Below are 18,158 nucleotides of genomic sequence, written 5' to 3'. Positions count from 1 at the left end.
AGAGCAACTTGAACATATTTTATTGTTAGTGTTCATTGACTTGGCAGACCCTCTCTTAACTGCAAGGTACTTCTGTACATTTTTTTTTACTCTGAAGAATTTTTCCTTCCCTTTCTTTTTGCTCTCCAAGCGTTATACTCCGCTTTCAGCAGCTAACAAGCGAGCTGTGGAATGGGGCTGGTGCCACCCCACATCGGCTGGGAAGGCCTCAAAAAAAGCCAAATCCTGTTTCAAATCTTGTTTATGCTCCTTCCTCTCTTCCCCAGCTTCAAATCAACAGATGCTTCTAGTCTGGGAACCTAGGGGAGTTCTCAGGGCCATGTATCCTGTTTCTTTTAATAGAATTGCAGCCTGACTAAGGTAAAAATTAGTTTCCTTTTTATATTCTTTAATTCCTTGTCTTCACTCTTTAATCAAATGTCTTGTTTTAATTTTTCCTTGCCCTGTGGCGTTGGCTTATGTCTAGCCACAAAATGTCCCATTTCATATACGTTTTAAAAAGTGGACCACAGGAGGAAATATTTCATCCAAAGGGAATATTATAGTTTGAACACTTAAGATCTAGAATCAAAGAGTCTGCAGTAGGAGTCAGTCACAGAACACAAATAACAGGGCCACAGAATTTTTCTGTTAAACAGAAAAAGTAAGAAAGGAGTCTACATAATATAAACAGCAGTTTAATGTTGCTTTCAAAACATCGAAATGTGAAACCAAATCTCACTCTCCTCACTGGCTGTGGACATGCCTCTTCCCTGAAATTCCCTGAAAAGAATGCCAAATTTAAAAAAACAGAGAACCTAAGAAATAAAATGGTCTTTATTGCAAAAGTCATGATTATCTACATTAAAAATCCCAAAGAACTATTTAAAAAATGACTAAGAAATATAATATGTGAGTTTGTCAAGTTCATAAGATACAAGGTCAATCTGTGGGAATCAACTGTATTTTTAAATACAAGCAATAAATAATTGGAAATTGAAATTCTAAAAATGTATAATTTACAATAACATCAAAACCAAGAAATACTTAGGGATTACTTTAACAAAATGTATGTAAGGTTTGTATGCTGGAAAGTACAAAACATTGATAAGGAAATCGAACAAGACCTAAATAAATGGAGAGATATACTATGTTCATGTGTCAGAAGACTATATATTAAGACATCAGTTAAATGCGGCATGTTCTCACTCATAAGTGGGAGTTGAACAATAAGAACACATGGACACAGGGAGGGGAACATCACACACCAGGGCCTGTGGGGGGATGGCGGGCTGGGAGAGGGATAGCATTAGGAGAAATACCTAATGTAGTTGACGGGTTGATGGGTGCAGCAAACCAATATGGCACGTGTATACCTATGTAAGAAACCTGCATGTTCTGCACATGTATCCCAGAACTTAAATTATAATAATAAAAAAAATACAGTAAGCATTTTGAAAAAAATCAGCGTTATTCTAAAATGTATATGAAAGCAAAGGGCCTAGTACAACCAAAATAATTTTGGAGAACAACAAAGTTAGATGACTCACAAAACCTGAATTTTAGAGTTACTGTAAAGTAATACAAATAAGAAAGGGTGGTGTTGATGAAAGGTTAGATATACAGAGACATGGAACAGGATAGAAAATCCAGAAATAGGCCAAGCGCGGTGGCTCATGCCTGTAATCCCAGCACTTTGGGAGGCCAAGGTGGGCGGATCACGAGGTCGAGACATCGAGACCATCCTGGCCAACATGGTGAAACCCCGTCTCTACTAAAAATACAAAAATTAGCTGGGCATGGTGGCACGCGCCTGTAGTCCCAGCTACCCAGGAGGCTGAGGCAGGAGAATGGCTTGAACCTGGGAGCGGAGGTTTCAGTGAGCCGAGATTGTGCCACTGCACTCCAGCCTGGCGACAGAGCGAGACTCCATCTCAAAAAAAAAAAAAAAAAAAAAGAAAGAAAGAAAGTCCAGACGTAGATAGACACTTACACGGTCAACTGATTTGCAACAAAGCTACCAAGTTCATCAATGTATAAGACATAGTCCTTTCAAAAAGCAAACAATGGAACATCTGTATACTAATGAAAAAAAAAGAAATTCAACCTTTACACCATTGCCTAGCACCATATGAAAATATTAATTTGAAATACGTCATAGACCTAAATGTAAGAGCAAAAACTATAAAACTTCTAAAAGAAAACATAAGAGAATGTAATTGTGTGCTTAGCTTGGGCAAAGGTTTTTTTTTTTTTTTTTTTTTTTAGCTAGGACACAAACACAAATCGTAAAAGAAGGCATGGATAAATAAGCCTTCAAATTTAAAGTTTTTTCTTCTTCAAAATACATTGTTAAGGAAATAAAAAGAGAAGTCATAGATGGGGAGGAAATATTTAGAAAACACATGCCTGTAAAAGAACTCTTACAACTTATTAAGAAAATACACACAACCAATAAAAACTGGATAAAAGACTGGAACAGAAGCTTCGCTAAGGAAGATATATGGATGACAAATAGCACATGAAAAGGTGCTCAACATAATAAGCCATTAGAAAAATAAAAATTAAAACCACTCTTCACCTATTAGAATGGCTAAAATGAAAAACACTGCTAGTGTCGACTGCTGATGGATCATAGAACAACCAGGACTCTCATGCATTGCTGGTGGGAACGTCAATATGGGCACTTTGGGAAAAAGTGCCCATTAAGTGAAATGTACACCGACTGACCGTACTGCCTTATTTTCCTAGGGTTGCTGTAACAAAGTATCGCAAAGTGAGTGGCTTAAAACAACAGCAATTTATTTCTCGCACTTCTGGTGGCTACAAGTGTTGGATGAAGGGATCTACAGGCGGTGCTCCCTCTAAATCCCTCTGAAGCTCCCTCTGAAGGTTATAGGAGAGTTTCCTTCCTCATGTCTTCTAACCTCTGGTACTTGCTGGCAATCCTTGGCACCCTTTAGCTTATTGATACATCACTCCAATCTCTGCCCCTGTTGTCACAAGACCATCTTCTTCCTGCGTGTCTGTTTCTGTGTCTCGTCTCCTCTTATGAGGATACTTACCAGTCAGATTAAGGGCCACCGTACTCCAATATGACCTCATCTTAATTACATCATCTGCAGTGACTATTTTTTTTTTAAGCAGTCTCACTCTGTCGCCCAGGCTGGTACCCAATGGCATCATCTCGGCTCACTGCAACCTCTGTCTCCCGGGTTCAAGCGACTCTCCTGCCTCAACTTCCTGTGTAGCTGGGATAACAGGTTCACACCACCATGCCTGGCTAATGTTTGTATTTTTAGTAGACACGGGATTTCGCTATGTTGGCCAGGCTGGTCTTGAACTGCTGACCTCAAGTGATCCACCTGCCTTGGCCTCCCAAAGTGCTGGGATTACAGGCATGAGCCACCAAGCCCGGCCCGTAATGACTTATTTCCAAATAAGGTCACATTCGAAGACTGGAGATTAGGCCTCAACATCTTTTTGGGGGGCGTGGGGGCAAGGGACAGAATCCAACCCATAATACCATACAACCCGACAGTCCCACTCCTAGGTTTTTACCCAAGAGAAATGAAAACATATGACATATGTTCTCACACAGACCTGTGTGAGATGTTTATAACGGCTTTATTCATAGTCACCCCAAACTGCAAACAAGCCAAGTTCATCAACTGTAAATGGATAAACTGAGATAAACAATACAATGGAATACCACTTGGAAATAAAAAGAACGAATTACTGATACACCCAAGAACATAGAGAAATCTCAAAAGCGTCTTGTGAAGTGAAAGCAGCCCTGAAGGAGACTGAACTGTATAATACCCTTCATGTTGCATTCTGGAAAAGGGAGAACTATGGAGCAAAAATTGCAGAGACTGTGGGTGGGGAGGAGGGAACTCACCACAAGGGGACATGAGTCAACTTTTTTAGGTGGTGAAATATTCCCTATGATAATTGTGGAGGTGGTTACACAACTGTATTACATGAGTCAAAATTAATAGATCTGTAGACTAAAAAGAGTAAATCTTACTGTATATAAATTTCACTTCAAGAAGCTGGGTTTGGTGCTTCACGCCTGTAAACCCCACCTCCCAGCTTCAAGCAATTCGCCTGTCTCAGCCTCCCAAGTAGCTGGGAAAACAGGCATGCGCCACCATGGTAATTAGGCACCAAACTCTGGGTCATGGGCCTGTCTCAGGCCTTTTTTTTTTTTTTTTTTTGGCGTCTACCTGAAACTGTCTCTAGTTGTTTATTCTTTACTCCTGACCGGACAGCACCTTCCTAGATGCAGCAGTGTCCTTTCTTCCCTACCAGGACAGCTTGCTCTTGCTTTACATGTGTTGAAGCTCTGAGCACACAGTTTTACTTTTGTCTCTGCTCAAACACAGATAGCCACTTACGTGTTTCATCACTTCTAAGCAGCCATCAATTGTGAAATTAGGATATCTTAAGCTTCAGATGCCAGAATGTACAATTTTATGTTAAATCATATTCAGTTTAGACCATTTTTGAAAAGACAGTGTCTCCTGAGTGGCTTGACTCCTTGTGAGCAAGACCCAGGCTCTCCCTCACTTCCTGTTGCAAGTTTGAGAGACATGTATCCTCTCCAGGGATTAAAACCAGTAAGGCCCCCCTGCTCCACCTTCAAGTGCAAGCCCCTTCTCTTTGCAGATGCTTTTATCTTGATATGCAACAATTGCTAGCAAGGTGCAGAGCAGGAATTACACACAGGTCTCAACAGGAAAGGCTTGTTTCCTGAGTCTTTCATTCACAGTGAAAACCGGGGCATGATCTTCAAAAAAAACTGAAAATATCCCGAGTCAGTTAATTTCCTTTTCCTTTCCAGCCTCTTTATTTCCTTTTCTTCACTCCTGCTGCATTCTTGTCTGTAATTAGCTCTTCCTCTCGGTTCTCTTTCTTCTCTCTTTTCTCCTATTGCTCCTCTCCTTTTTCTTCTCTTCCTTATCCTTCTCTTATTCACCCACCTGCCTGCCTTATTTTTATTTTTACTTTCCTTACTCTCTCTCTCTCTCTTTTATTTTATTTTTATCTTTTTGAGACAGGGTCTCCCTGTGTCACCCAGGCTGGAGTACAGCGGCACAATCATGGCTCACTGCAGCCTTGACCTCCCAGGGCATCCTCCCACCTCAGCCTCTGAAGTAGCTGGGTCCACAGATATGTGCCATCACACCCAGCTAATTTTTGTATTTTTTGTGCAGAGGCAGGGTTTCCCCATGTTGCCCAGGCTGGTCTCCAACTCCTGGGCTCAAGCGATCTGCTTGCCTTGGCCTCCCACAGGGCTGGGATTACAGGCATAAGCCACTGAGTCCAGCCTCCTTACTCTCTCGAGTGTGCCTTTCATTATTGCTGTTCTTACTCTGTAAAGTTTTGTGTTCTCCAATATGCCTAGAAGAAAGTCTGCCACAAAATTGCCAATAATATACCCACTGGGTCTTTCCATTTTTTTATACCAGGCTGACCTAGGCAATGGAACAATACCTTTTATCCATTTCTTGGTGTGATTACAGCTCAGGCATATTCATTTTCAACCTCATTAATAGTCCCCTGGGCTTACTTTATGTCATCAGAAGAGGAGTGAGAATTATGGAAATCTCAGTAAAAACAATGCCCCTTGTCTTTTCATTTCTGTGGTGTTTTTGAAGCTCGAGTTTCCAGTAGCTCCATAGAACTGCTAATCAGATTTTTTCCTGTATATAAAACTGAGTCTTAAGAAGAGTCATTCCAACAAACATGCAACATGCCCTTAGTTCAGCTTTATCAAAATTTTCAATAAAGATACTCAGTTCAGTCATCCACAAGCAGGTCAATATTATTATTATTTTTTTAAAAAGCCACTGTCCTTAAGGCTCTTTATTTAACATAGCAGGGACATATCCAACCTCTTTTAGAAAGTTTTAAAATAATTGTTACAAAATGTTTGAAGGAATAAACTATTAAGGGAAGTTTTTGTGATTCTTTTATACAATTGGGAAGTATGCCTAAGTAATTCCGTCATATTTATTTTTAATTTAATTTGATAAATATCTATCTAGCTCTGATTATGAAGTACTTATTGTGCTAGGCACTAAAAAAGATTAAAACATTGATTCCTGCCTGCCTTCAAAGTTGACAAGGTAATTAGGGAACACATACAAAAAATTATTGCTTAGGACAAATAAGAAGTTTGTTAGCTTCTCGAGTATGGAATGGTGCTTTTTATTTAACTTACTCTGTTCCCAAATCTAGCTCACTCCTTTCCACACAGAGATACTTAATAAGTAATTTATAAATGCTCAGTGCTATTAAAAAATTAAATAAGCACTTGGTCTAGGTTATAAAAGTTAAGGAAGGCCTTGTGGCAGACCTAAGATTTGAACAGAAACTTAATGCATGGGCAAAACTTGGATCTGCTAACAGAGGGGAGGAAGAGCATTTCTGCCAGAGGGAACATCATGAATGAAGATTGGGAGGTGGAAGTGGGTGTATTTATGCCTCACAGGAAACTTGGCTAGAGTAGAGTTCACTTCAGCAAGGCCTAGGCTTAATGTCCAGAAGACCAAAAGATATCCATTAATTCTCTCCCTACAAGATCGTTCCTATCAGCTTATAGAAAATTATTTGTTTCTGCCTTTTTTTTTGTTTTTTTGAGATGGTGTCTCACTTTGTCACCCAGGCTGGAGTGCAGTGGCATGATCTCAGCTCACTGCAACCTTCACCTCCCAGGTTCAAGTGGTCCTCCTGCCTCAGCCTCCCAAGTAGCTGGGACTACAGGCACATGCCACCATGCCCAGCTAATTTTTGTATTTTTAGTAGAGATGAGTTTTCACTATATTGGACAGGCTGGTCTCGAACTCCTGACCTCAAGTGATCCACCCACCTCGGCCTCCCAAAGTGCTAGGATTACAGATGTGAACCACCACACCCAGCAGTTTCTGCCATTTTTAAAAACAAGCAAAACAGTGAAACAAAACCTTTCTTGGCCCTGGATTCCCCTCCGTCTACTACCCTTGACAAAGCTGCCTATACTAGCTGCCTCCAATTCCTCTTTTCCCATTATGTCTTGAAGCCACTCCAGCCAGGTCTTCACCCCTGCTGCTCCCCGAGTGATTCTTGGGTTGGTAAACAGTCCCTGTCTCGTGTAACCTGGTAGCAGCGTTTCACAAAGGTGCCCATCACATCCTCTCCTGCTTGAAACCCTGGTCTCACTTGGTTTCCAGGTTTCATTCATAGCTCCCTTGGGTCCCATTCACTTTCACTGGCCATTCCTTCTCTAAGTCTCTTTTTTTTTTTTTTTTTTTGAGACAGAGTCTCGCTTGCTGTGTCACCCAGGCTGGAGTGCAATGGCACGATCTTGGTTCACTGCAACCTCTGCCTCCTGGGTTCAAGCAATTCTCCTGTCTCAGTCTCCCGAGTAGCTGGGATTACAGGCATGCGCCACCATGCCTGGCTAATTTTTGTATTTTTAGTAGAGACTGGGTTTCACCATGTTGGTCAGGCTGATCTTGAACCCCTAACCTCAGGTGATCCACCTCCCTCAGCCTCCCAAAGTGCTGGGATTACAGGCGTGAGACACTGCACCTGACTCCTTCTCTGTCTCTTTTGCCAGTTCCCAGCAGCTCCCCGACCACTAAATGCCAGAGCGCCCTGGGCACAGGCCTCAGTTTCTCCCTTGGTGGTGAATGCAGGCTCCTGGCTTTCAGTATCACACACACACTGATGGCTTCTGATCGTGCTCAGAGCCTCTAAGAGCCCACAGGACCTCATGTGATCTGTGAACCTCCCAGGACAACGACTGTTTAGGGGGAAAGAAAGAAGCAAGTTCAAATTGTATTTATTTATTTATTGAGATGGAGTCTCACTCTGACGCCCAGGCTGGAATGCAGTGGCGCGATCTTGGCTCACTGCAACCTCTGCCTCCCACGTTCAAGCGATTCTTCTGTATCAGCCTCCCGAGTAGCTGGGACTACAGGCGCCCGCCAACACTCCTGACTAATTTTTGTATTTTTAGTAGAGATAGGGTTTCACCATGTTGCCCAGGCTGGTCTCGAACTGCTGACCTCAAGTGATCTGCCCTCCTCGGCCTCCCAAAGTGCTTGGATTACAGGTGTGAGCCACTGCCCCCAGCTGACTTTGAATTTTAATAAAAGAAAAGCCAGTCGTCCAGCTTTGAGGGAAAAGCGTTGTATAATTTGTTTTACTAGATTAGCCTAGCTGATGTGGCCTGTTTGTGAGATGACTTGAGTCATAGTGTATGCTTGTGTGGGGCAGACGGAAGGAAAGCAGTATTAGTGGATATGCACTCTGAGGATTGTGTGTCTGTGGGCCAGGCAGAATTTGATAGAGATGGAGAGAAAAATGTAGATTTGAGAGAAATGACAGAGAAAGCAATGTCTTGGTTTTGTCGCCAAAGTAGATGTAGGGCGTAAGTGAGGAAATTAAGATTATCTTGAAGTTTGTGCAGTGAAAAAACTGTCAGGTTAGTAAGGAGGCATGGGGTAAGTAAGGAAGTTCTGAGTAAGAAGAGAAGTTCTGCTTTTCATTAGTCACATGGATAAACTGTCTTTTAAAAGATTATGAATCTCTCCAAATCAAGCTAAGAATGGTCATGAGCAAATCATTCTTAAAATCAATTTCCGTACCACTAGGTTTCTATTGTTCTATGATAACATTTCAATTGCCAATTCAATTCATTGAAAGTTTATGGGCTCGGTGAGGTGGCTCACACCTGTAATCCTAGCACTTTGGGAGGCCAAGGCAGGCAGATCACTTGAGGTCAGGAGTTCGAGACCAGCCTGGCCAACGTGGTGAAACCTTGTCTCTCCTAAAAACACAAAAATTAACCGGCCATGGCGGTGCACGCTTGTCATCCTAGCTGCTCGCGGGGCTGAGGCAGGAGAATTGCTTGAACCTGGGAGGTGGAGGTTGCACTGAGCTGAGATTGCGCCGCTGCACTCTAGCCTGAGCGACAGAGTGAGACTCTGTCTCAAATAAATAAATAAAATTAAAAAAAGAAAGTTTACCTATTTCATCCTGAGTCACTTTGTAGCGACTTGTATTTTTCTAGGAATTTTTATTTCATCTGCATTTCCAGACAAAGTTGCTCATCATGGTTTTGTATGCTGTTTTTAGTTTTGGGGTATCTACAGTTATGTCTCCATTTTTATTCCCAGTCTTTTTTACTTGTTCTTTCTCTGTGTGTCTTTGTCTCTCAGCCTGTCACTTATCATTTTGGACAAAGGTCTGTTATTTTCTTTGGTCTGTCAAAGACAAGGACAGTTCTATCATATCTTTGTATTTCTTTATTTTGTCCTTGTAATTATTTGTGTATGAAATGATACAAATGATAGCAAATGGCTGAAGCAATTGTTGCAGAGAGAAATGAGCTGAGAAAAGCAGGTGCCTGTCAAAGTACAGTTTCCTGCAATGTGTGTTAGCTGTGGACTTAGAAAAAGGAGGCCACCAGAACAAGCTGGAATCTTGGACAGGGTAAGTAAGGAAGGACAGGGCAGGTTGTTCTGAGTGCTGATGGCAACTGAGAGACGAACAAGGAGAATTGCAAAACCTTTCCAGAAACTGCCCTCAGCTGCCCAAGGACTCTGTCCTTCCATCATGCATTCATTCTCTCTTTTTCCTTATAAAGTTCCAACTTTTATTAATATTATCCAGCTAACACTAACATTAGTTAGGATTTTAGTTCATGTTAAATTTGGTGGAACAAATAGAAGAATGTTATTACTTGAACAGCAGTTTTAAAAGTCCAGTAATCATTAGCAGTTCAAATGTGTGGGTCACACACTTCTCTAAGCAGAGTTAATAAGTAAACCTTCTCTGGCACGATTTAACATTAGCTGCAGTTTGAACTTTACTTCTAAGATTGGAGTGGATCACACAGCTCTCTCTTCCAGACAAGCCTGGGGAGCACAACAACTAAAGCTGGAACTTTTTATATAAATAAGGACTTATGTATATAACATGTATATATATTTATACTCATACATACACACACATACACATATACACACATGTATAAGGACATATAAATGTTTTATATGTATGAGGATATAAATATATAAATATATGTATTTTGTGGCTGAGAGTGACTCCCAGCTAATAACTAGCAAGGAAAAATTTATGCATATATATTTTTATACATATTTATAAATGAATGAGCTTAGAAGAGGACCTTGAGCTCCAGACGAGATGAACTATGAGCCCTGCCAAGATCTTGATTTTGATTTTGGGAGGCCTTCAGCAGAGAATGCAGCCGTGCCACTTCTGGACTACAGAAATAACTATGAATTCATTTACTGTTAAGTCCAGAGGAAACTGAAGCTTTGGATAAGTTTCTTATCCGAGGTCACCAGGCAGATCTCTTTAGTCCTAGCCTAGCCTTCCTTCCATTCTTCCATGAACTTATTTTATTGCAATTAATAGAAGTTAGGTGAATATATATATATATATATATATATATATATATATATATATATATAAAACTGGCATTCAACTAGTTATTAATAATATAAGCATTCCAAAGGATACTTCCCGCTAATGGAAATGTCTGTATCTAGAGCGAATATCAGAAAGAAGAAAAAAAAGTTGGAGCAAACTGTAGAATGTTCACAGAAATTTGGCCATTTGTATTGTATGTCAGTTATTTGAATTAGGAAATTTACAGAAATTATCTTCATATTGCTTAATTGCAGAGATGGTTTGTTTACTCATTAGTGTCGACCATTAAGTTACCTTAATATTTTTGACAGGATGAGCGCTTAAGGATTTTGTTCCCCTCTCTTTGCTATTTAGAGATTTTAGTTTTAATACACAGGAAGACTCTCAGGAAATCCTTTTTTCTGGTTTTGGATTCATGTAAAGAAAAAAACGTAAAATGCAGATCTTTGCATCATTCAGTAGTCGTTTATGTGAGTAACAGCTGTTTCTCTCGATTCTTCGCGATGTGCAGTTACAAGTTAGAACCACCATTTCATAGAGTCCCTTTGATTTTAAAATTGTGAACAATGAAAAGCAAGTGTTCTTTAAAAACGAAATTAAGTGTTTTAGGCAGTACATATATTAAATGTTTGGAAAATAAAACTCTCCTGAATTTTTAAACTCTCTAGAATTGGCAAAGTACTCAGTTACATTATGAAATACAGCTCTGTTTTGGAGCTTGCAAAATGCTTTTGTAGTGGATAACTACTGCAGGGGACAATACTCATCTTTACTGTTGGTGCTGTTAGCATATTTAATGAAGTAATTCCATTCCTGTGATCACAAATGCTCATGCACAGAGGCTCTTTTAATGAAACAGCTTATCATCTGGTTTCTAGCATGTTCTTTCAGATTTGGGCATATCATTTTGATCCTTCCTAAGTACTATTAATTTAAAAAGGTATGCATGTGCTATATTTGCTTGGCAAACCACACAACTTTTCACAAAGATTTTCCACAAATGAGTTCTCTAAGTCTCTTTATTGAAAGGCATTATCTTCCTGAGTTATGGAATATTACATTAACGTCATACAACAATTGTGCAAAACAGTTAAGCAAAATAAAGGGACTTCTGTTATATTTACATGATTATGCTATTTAAATGATAAAATTAGGATGCCATATTCTTTTTTATTTTTTTTTTGAAGTGGAGTCTTGCTCTGTCACCCAGGCTGGAGTGCAGTGGTGTGATCTTGGCTCACTGCAAGCTCTGCCTCCCGGGTTGATGCCATTCTCCTGCCTCAGCCTCCCGAGTAGCTGGGACTACAAGCGCCCATCACCATGCCTGGCTAATTTTTTGTATTTTTAGTAGAGATGGGGTTTCACCGTGTTAGCCAGGATGATCTCAATCTCCTGACCTCGTGATCCACCCGCCTCGGCCTCCGGAAGTGCTGGAATTACAGGCGTGAGCCACCGTGCCCGGCCTAGATGCCATATTCTTAACTTCGTTTTCCTTTCCCTATTGTTTTCAGTATTCAGGTCATCAGGGGTCAATGAAGACTTGGTAACCACTGAACGGACCATGTGGGAATTCGGTTATTACTCAATAAGAATTCCTTCTTAGGCCTGGTTCCTGGTTTACTGCTGAGCTCTGCATGTGATACCTCTCCAAGGTTTCCACCTTCTGCCTGCCCTCACATTCTATGTTTATATTAAAGAGCATCTGTCTGTTTGCCTGTCCTTCCATCTGTCATAGAATTCTAAGATAGCCTCCACAATTCCTGGCCTCTGGTATACACACAACTTCTCCAGTTATTCAGTCATACCCTAATCTAGCTATTGCTGTGATGGGATTTTGCAGATGTAAGGAAGGTCTCAAGTCAGTTACCTGTCAAGATAGGAAGATGATCTGGGTGTGCCTGACCTAATCACATGAGCACTTTAAGTCTGAGTCTAGAGCCCTAGATGGCCAAGTCAGAGATTGGAAGCATAGAAGGATTTGCTGAGACACTGCTGACTGGAAGATGGGGAGGGCCACATGATGAGGTTTCTGGGCAGCCTTTAGCCTTTAGCAGCTGAGAGTAGCTCTCAGCTGACAGCCAGCAAAGAAACTGGGTCCTCAGTCCTATAACCACAAAGAACTGAATTCTGCCAGCAATCTGAATGACCTTAGAAGAGGACCTTGAGCTCCAGACAAGATGAACTATGAGCCCTGCCAAGATCTTGATTTTGGCTTTGGGAGGCCTTCAGCATAGACCCCAGTCATGCCATTTCTGGACTAAAAAAAGGACGAGTCAATATGTGGGTGTTATAAGCCACTAAGTCTATGGTAAGATGTTATGCAGCAATAGGTATCTAAAACACTGATTTAGAACCCAATGCACCTTAGTTGCATTATAGTCCCAAAGCGTTTGTTGTTTTTTCTTTCCCCCATCTTTTTCTTATTTAAACCAAAAACAAATAAGCAGAAATTAACTATTTTCTTTGACCTATCAATTGAGGCCATGAGGCCAATACCAATGTATTGTATCTGTCTTTGTGGGTTTTATGTTGAATACCAAAGTGCTTTTGTCTTATCATCAGAAAGATTTCCCTTGAGACTATTGTTAGCACCTGTTACTTTGCCCTCCATTCTGTAGTTCCTCATGTCTGATTCAGAGGAAGATTATTTGCAAGGATGGTCACAAGAATTCCTCCTCTCCTAGTACAGCACTCAAGCCCTGTTGCAATATGACTACTGCTTCTACCATCAAGGGGGGTCTCTTTCTCCAAATCTTGGATTTGGGCTGACCTTGTGACATTTTTAATGGTAGAATGTACAGACTTCTATCATTCTTCTAGACCCATAACGCTAGAGCTCCAGGGGCCTTACCACTTCCTCTTTCGCCCTCCTGGACGGGGCTGTTGTGTGAGGAAGTCCTATCTAGCCTGCTGAGAGGCCATACAAGTGGATCTGAGATGCCTGAGCTGACAGCTGCCATCAACTTCTGGACTTTGAGACCACCCAGGGCAAGCCAGTCCCTGGCCAACCTCCCAGTTGACTGCAAACACATGACAGAGCCAAGCTAATGCCACATGGGGCAGAAATAAGATATCGCAGCTGAGCCTTGTCCAAATTGCCAACCCACAGTATTGTGAGCAAAGCATGTGTTTTTATTTTAAGCCACTAAAGTTTTGAGGCGATGTGTTATACAGTCATAGATAATTGACACAGAATGAGAGAGCGTGGCTTAAAAATAGGATTTTAAAATTAAGATTTTATTTCTTTTTGAATGGATTACGATTCAAATGTCCACGTACACAGTGCAAAATTTAAGATACAAAAGAGTATACATGTCAAAACAAATTTCCCTCCTTGAGGGCATTGTTAAGTTTTTCTCATCTCTTTGGAGCTCTTCAGCATGGTGGTTTGGGTGTAAAGTAACAATTTTAAGATTACGCATGAACAAAATGACCAAAGTAGACAATAAAAAAGCAACACGTCTTATTCCAGATTGATTTGCTTTGTATCATTTTACGTCCCCAAATAGTCATTTCTGCTTTGTTCGATTTTCCTTAGGGATGAATTTGCAAGATCTCCAGATGTCCAAGCTAAAGGATGAGGTCATAGTGGAGTATATGGGTGACCCTGTAGGTTGCTGCTCTGAAATGGAAAATTATTATGTATGTTTTCCAGTAATGCAAGATCAGAGAATCTATCACCAGTGATGGGTTAAATGACTCAGAAACCATTCAGCGGAGTGTTCCCTTTGTAATGTAAGGGAAATCAGTATTTGTATTGAAAGCAAATCAGTAAAGACCCTCTAAGCCACCTGATAAACTGTGTCAGCCCCAGAACAAAATCTTAAATACAGCCCAGCAGGCTATTTAGGCCACTAGTTCCCTTGACTTTTTCCAGAGTCCTGTCTACATTCAGAATGTGAAATCTACAGTATATCAGACTCGGGCTGAGGGTCTGGTGTTGCCTGTTATAACCCTGGGAAGTACGAGGCTTATTCATTCAACAAGCATCTATCACCCACAGAGTGATATGTTGCAGACACTGTGGTGGATGGTATGGATACAAATGGAAATATCACCATAGCTCATAACCTTTGAGTTTTTATTTCCTGGGATCCCCCCACAGTGGCTCCAGGGGTCCCAAACCAAATTGGATACTTGATCTTACCTGAATTAAAATCCCACTAAGATTCCCTAGGGATGTGAGATATTCAGCCTAAAAGAGCAGATTTAATATATTGATACTGGCCTCCTGTCTTTTATTTGAATTAATAAATTCAAAGTAAATATTTGCTCTTATTTGTTTTTGGTTTAAAAGAAATTATGGTACCTGGTGCAAAAGGTAGCATCGTGACTTTGAGCCTGTAGGCATTTATACCCCAGAGTATGGAACGAGCCTTTGTTTCTATTTCTCTCACGGGGCAGGGAAAAGACCGTGGTCACTTATCACATTCACACACTCTGCCTGTGGCCTTGCATCACAGATGTTTGTCCAGGCTACTTTGTATGGAGAAGTCAGGCTCACTGCTGGGATGGGATTTAGAATCTTGAATCCAATGCATCTTTGGTTAGAATCTCGAATCCAGTGCATGCTTTTTCTATTCATCTGATGGGGCTGCTGTAACAGAATACCCTAGACTGAGTGGCTTAAACAAGACATTTCATTTTCCCACAGTTCTGAAGGCTGGAAGTCCAAGATCAAGATGGCAGTAGGGTTGGTTTCTGGTGAGGCCTCTCTTTCTGGCTTGCAGTTGGCGGCCTTTTCATTGTGTCTTCATGTGGCCTCTTCTCTGTGTTTGGGCAGAGAAAGAGAGAGTGGGGAAAGGGACAGAGGGGAAGGAGGGAGGGAGAGAGGAAGAGAGAAGGAAGGAGGGATCTGGTGTCTCTGCCTCCTTATATAAGGCCACCAGACCTATGAGCTTAGGGTCCCACCCTTATGACCTTGTTTAACCTTAATTACCTCCCTATAGGTCCTGTCTCCAAATACAGTCACATTGGAGGTTAGGGCTTCAACATATGAATTATAGGGGTATGTGGTACACAGTTTAGTCCATAACACTTCCCATATGCCAGATATTACATTAGGCAAGAGGGTATAAAGATATGTATATATGTCAAGCATCAACTCTGGGCTCACAGAGGCACATATTTACGATACAGTGCAATAACGCCAATACCATGTCGGGTATGGGAGGGGCAGAAAAGATCCATTTAGTGTGAGCAGGTCAGGAAAGGGTTTCCAGAGAAGACTGATTCTCAGAGAGGAGAGGAGCTCTTGGGGATTGGTGAAGGTCTGCTAGGCAGAGGGGAAGCCCGTGGAAGAGCATGACAAGGCCATATATTCATTATTTCATCCAGTCTTCATCACAGAGCAGGGCCACTTAGCAAATACGGCACTCTGGCTGAGTGGAGCCTTGGATGTTTGCTGGGGAGCTTCGACTTGATCATGTAGCAGGAAGCAGGCATCCACTAAAGTGTTTCAAGCAGAGGAGGAAACTGAGCATCTTGCACCTGGAAAGTTCACTTGCACCCCAGAAAGTTGAGAGGAAAAGCATGTGTTAGACCAGAGGCTGGGGCCAGTTAGGAAACCCCTGCCACCATATTGTGACTGAGCCCAAAGGCAACAGTGGCGGTGCCAGCAGAGGGGGAGGGAGATAGCCAGGAATTGTGCACACTGCACAAACCTTGGAGTTGATGCCAATGTGGGGAGGGAGAGAGTTTAGGCTGGATCCTAGGTTTTGGTTTGGTGACTGGTGGAGCCATTGTTAAGAACAGAAACACAACTCAAGGACGAGAGAGAAGGAAGAATCATAGGAAACACCATGTATAAAGTTCATGGAATTCAGCTTCCTCAGCTGGGAAGGAGTTTCTTTAAGTTCTCTGGCAGGGATTCCACCCCTCAGTGGGTTCCAGGGACCCAGGGATGGCCAGACCCTTACTTGGCTGGCAGGCTGTGGCTTAGAGCATGGTGTGTGATAGGTATCTTTGGAATAAGTAATTTGTTTACCAAAATCCGTAACTGATGTGACTTTTCAGTATGACTATGACCCAAACTGTCTTAGTCAGAAAAATTTCCCCATAAATAAGCCCTTAGTCATCTGTTGCCAAGACAGTTAAAAAGCTTTTGATCTAAAATCCACGAACCTGTTGTCCTTTTTGCTACGCTGAAACCGATAACTGTTTCAGTCCCTGATTTTGTACCTGCTGTGATTCAAGTAGATTGTAATCTCAGAGCCTTAGGGTTGGCCAGAAAAGCACTTGTAAGAGAGCTGAAGAAAAGGAGATCAGAGAGCAAAGAGGCGGAATAAACCCTTTCTTTCTTGCATATTTAAATTTCCAATTACCCTTTGATGAAGGGAGGGGAGGAAAATGGGTGAATCTCCAGGTCACCGGGTTTTGGGTCCTGGCTTGACCGTAAATTTGTACAATTACAACAAATGTCTCCTTTTCCTCCCTGATTCTGTCTGCGTTTTCTTCCAAGAGGAACTGGCAGGATTTCTATGGGGACGGCCTCTTAGCATCGCAGACTTGCCGGGGAGACGGAGCCCGGACACCCAGGAGCGAGACGCTCTTGGGTACTTTGTGTGTGAGACAGAATAAGAGAGAGAGATGGGGGTGAGCACAGAGAGAGAAAGAGAATGAAAGAATGAGACAGAGGAGAGAGAAAGAATGAAAGAGAATGAGAATGAGGGAGAGAATGAGAGAAAGAGAGACAATGAGAGAGAAAGAGATTAAGGGAGAGAGAAAGAGATAAAAGAAGAGAGAATGTGTGTGTGAGAGAGACAGAGAGGTAGAGGGAGAGAGCGAGGGAACGAGGGAGTGAGAAAAAAGGAGAGTGAGCGCCCCGGAGCTTTGTGGCTGTGACCCACGCGGCCGCCTTCCCACTTTCCCGGTCATCCGGGGCCGCCGCGCTTTCCCTCCAGCCCTCGCTCCCACCGAGTCCCGGAGGCCGAGCGCTGCAGCCCCGGCTGGTGCCCCTCCCGGCGCGGATGCCCGGCCTTTCTGGATCTCCGCCCGACGCGCGCGAGCCGTGGAAGGAAGGCGGGGGCGGGGCTGCCAGGGCGGGGCGCGTTGGGGGCGTGGCCTTGCCGCCCCGCCCCTCCCCGCCCCGCCGCTTAATTCGGACGCGCGGGGCCGCGGGGAGCGAGAGCCGCCCTGCGCCGGACTGGCTTGCGGGCCGGGCCGCCGCCCCCGGAGCCGCCCTCGCGCCGCCTCGGGCCGCCGCCGAGCAGTCGGGCCGCTGGGCGCCGCCGCGGGCGCCGGGAGCGAGCTGGGAGGGAGCCGCGCGCCTTTGTGCGCGCGCCGAGGTAGGTTCGCCTCCCGCACTTACTTTCCACACAAAGACGAGGGGCGCGGGGAGGCGGGCGGCGGCCCTGCCCGACCCCGGCTCCGGGGACCCTCTCGGCGGGCGGGCGGCCGGGCGGGTGGGGGGTCCCCGTGCGCGGGAGGGCAGCGGGCGTACGGGGACCACGGGTCACCCCGCGCGGCGCCCGGGAGGTGCCGGGGCTCAGGGCGGGCACGCGGCGGGGCCGTGCGGGGGGCGCCGCGGAGGCGGGGGCCGCTGCGGGGAAGGGGCCCAGCGGCCGCCCGGCTCATTGTTGCCTTCTCGGCGCTGCCGCGGGGGAGCCCTACCCGGCGCGGTGTGCACTGCCTGGCCGTGTGCGCCGTATGCCCGCCCTCGGCGCCCCTCGCCCCGCGGCGCCCGGCGTGGACCGGGTCGCGCCCCGACGCCAGCCCCCGCCAGGCAGACA

General features: G+C 43.6%; 1 protein-coding gene across 12 annotated transcripts in view, besides 3 other annotated features; it reads left to right on the top strand.

The window, feature by feature from the left end:
- Window positions 1-18,158, top strand: part of FAM107B (family with sequence similarity 107 member B) — a 256,341-nt gene that overhangs the window by 152,944 nt on the left and 85,239 nt on the right. For 10 of the 12 annotated variants that reach the window (NM_001282697.2, XM_047425814.1, NM_001282696.2 and 7 more), the window contains exon 1: window positions 17,553-17,714. The exons of the other annotated variants lie outside the window; for them this stretch is intronic. The gene's annotated coding sequence lies outside the window, so the exon portion shown is untranslated. Of the gene's footprint in view, window positions 1-17,552; window positions 17,715-18,158 lie in introns of those variants that run through there. 12 annotated transcript variants of the gene reach the window in all.
- Window positions 13,173-13,222: an enhancer, noted in NCBI's record as "active region_3078". NCBI's record gives its function as "activates an Ori minimal core promoter by ATAC-STARR-seq in GM12878 lymphoblastoid cells {active_cell/tissue: GM12878}" and the evidence as "EXISTENCE:reporter gene assay evidence [ECO:0000049][PMID:35858748]".
- Window positions 17,196-17,695: a silencer, noted in NCBI's record as "silent region_2162". NCBI's record gives its function as "represses an Ori minimal core promoter by ATAC-STARR-seq in GM12878 lymphoblastoid cells {active_cell/tissue: GM12878}" and the evidence as "EXISTENCE:reporter gene assay evidence [ECO:0000049][PMID:35858748]".
- Window positions 17,926-18,145: a silencer, noted in NCBI's record as "silent region_2161". NCBI's record gives its function as "represses an Ori minimal core promoter by ATAC-STARR-seq in GM12878 lymphoblastoid cells {active_cell/tissue: GM12878}" and the evidence as "EXISTENCE:reporter gene assay evidence [ECO:0000049][PMID:35858748]".

Source organism: Homo sapiens, chromosome 10, assembly GCF_000001405.40.
Source record: "Homo sapiens chromosome 10, GRCh38.p14 Primary Assembly".
Lineage (NCBI taxonomy): Eukaryota > Metazoa > Chordata > Mammalia > Primates > Hominidae > Homo > Homo sapiens.
Note: the sequence above shows the minus strand (reverse complement) of the source record. Positions and strands in the feature narration are given on the sequence as shown.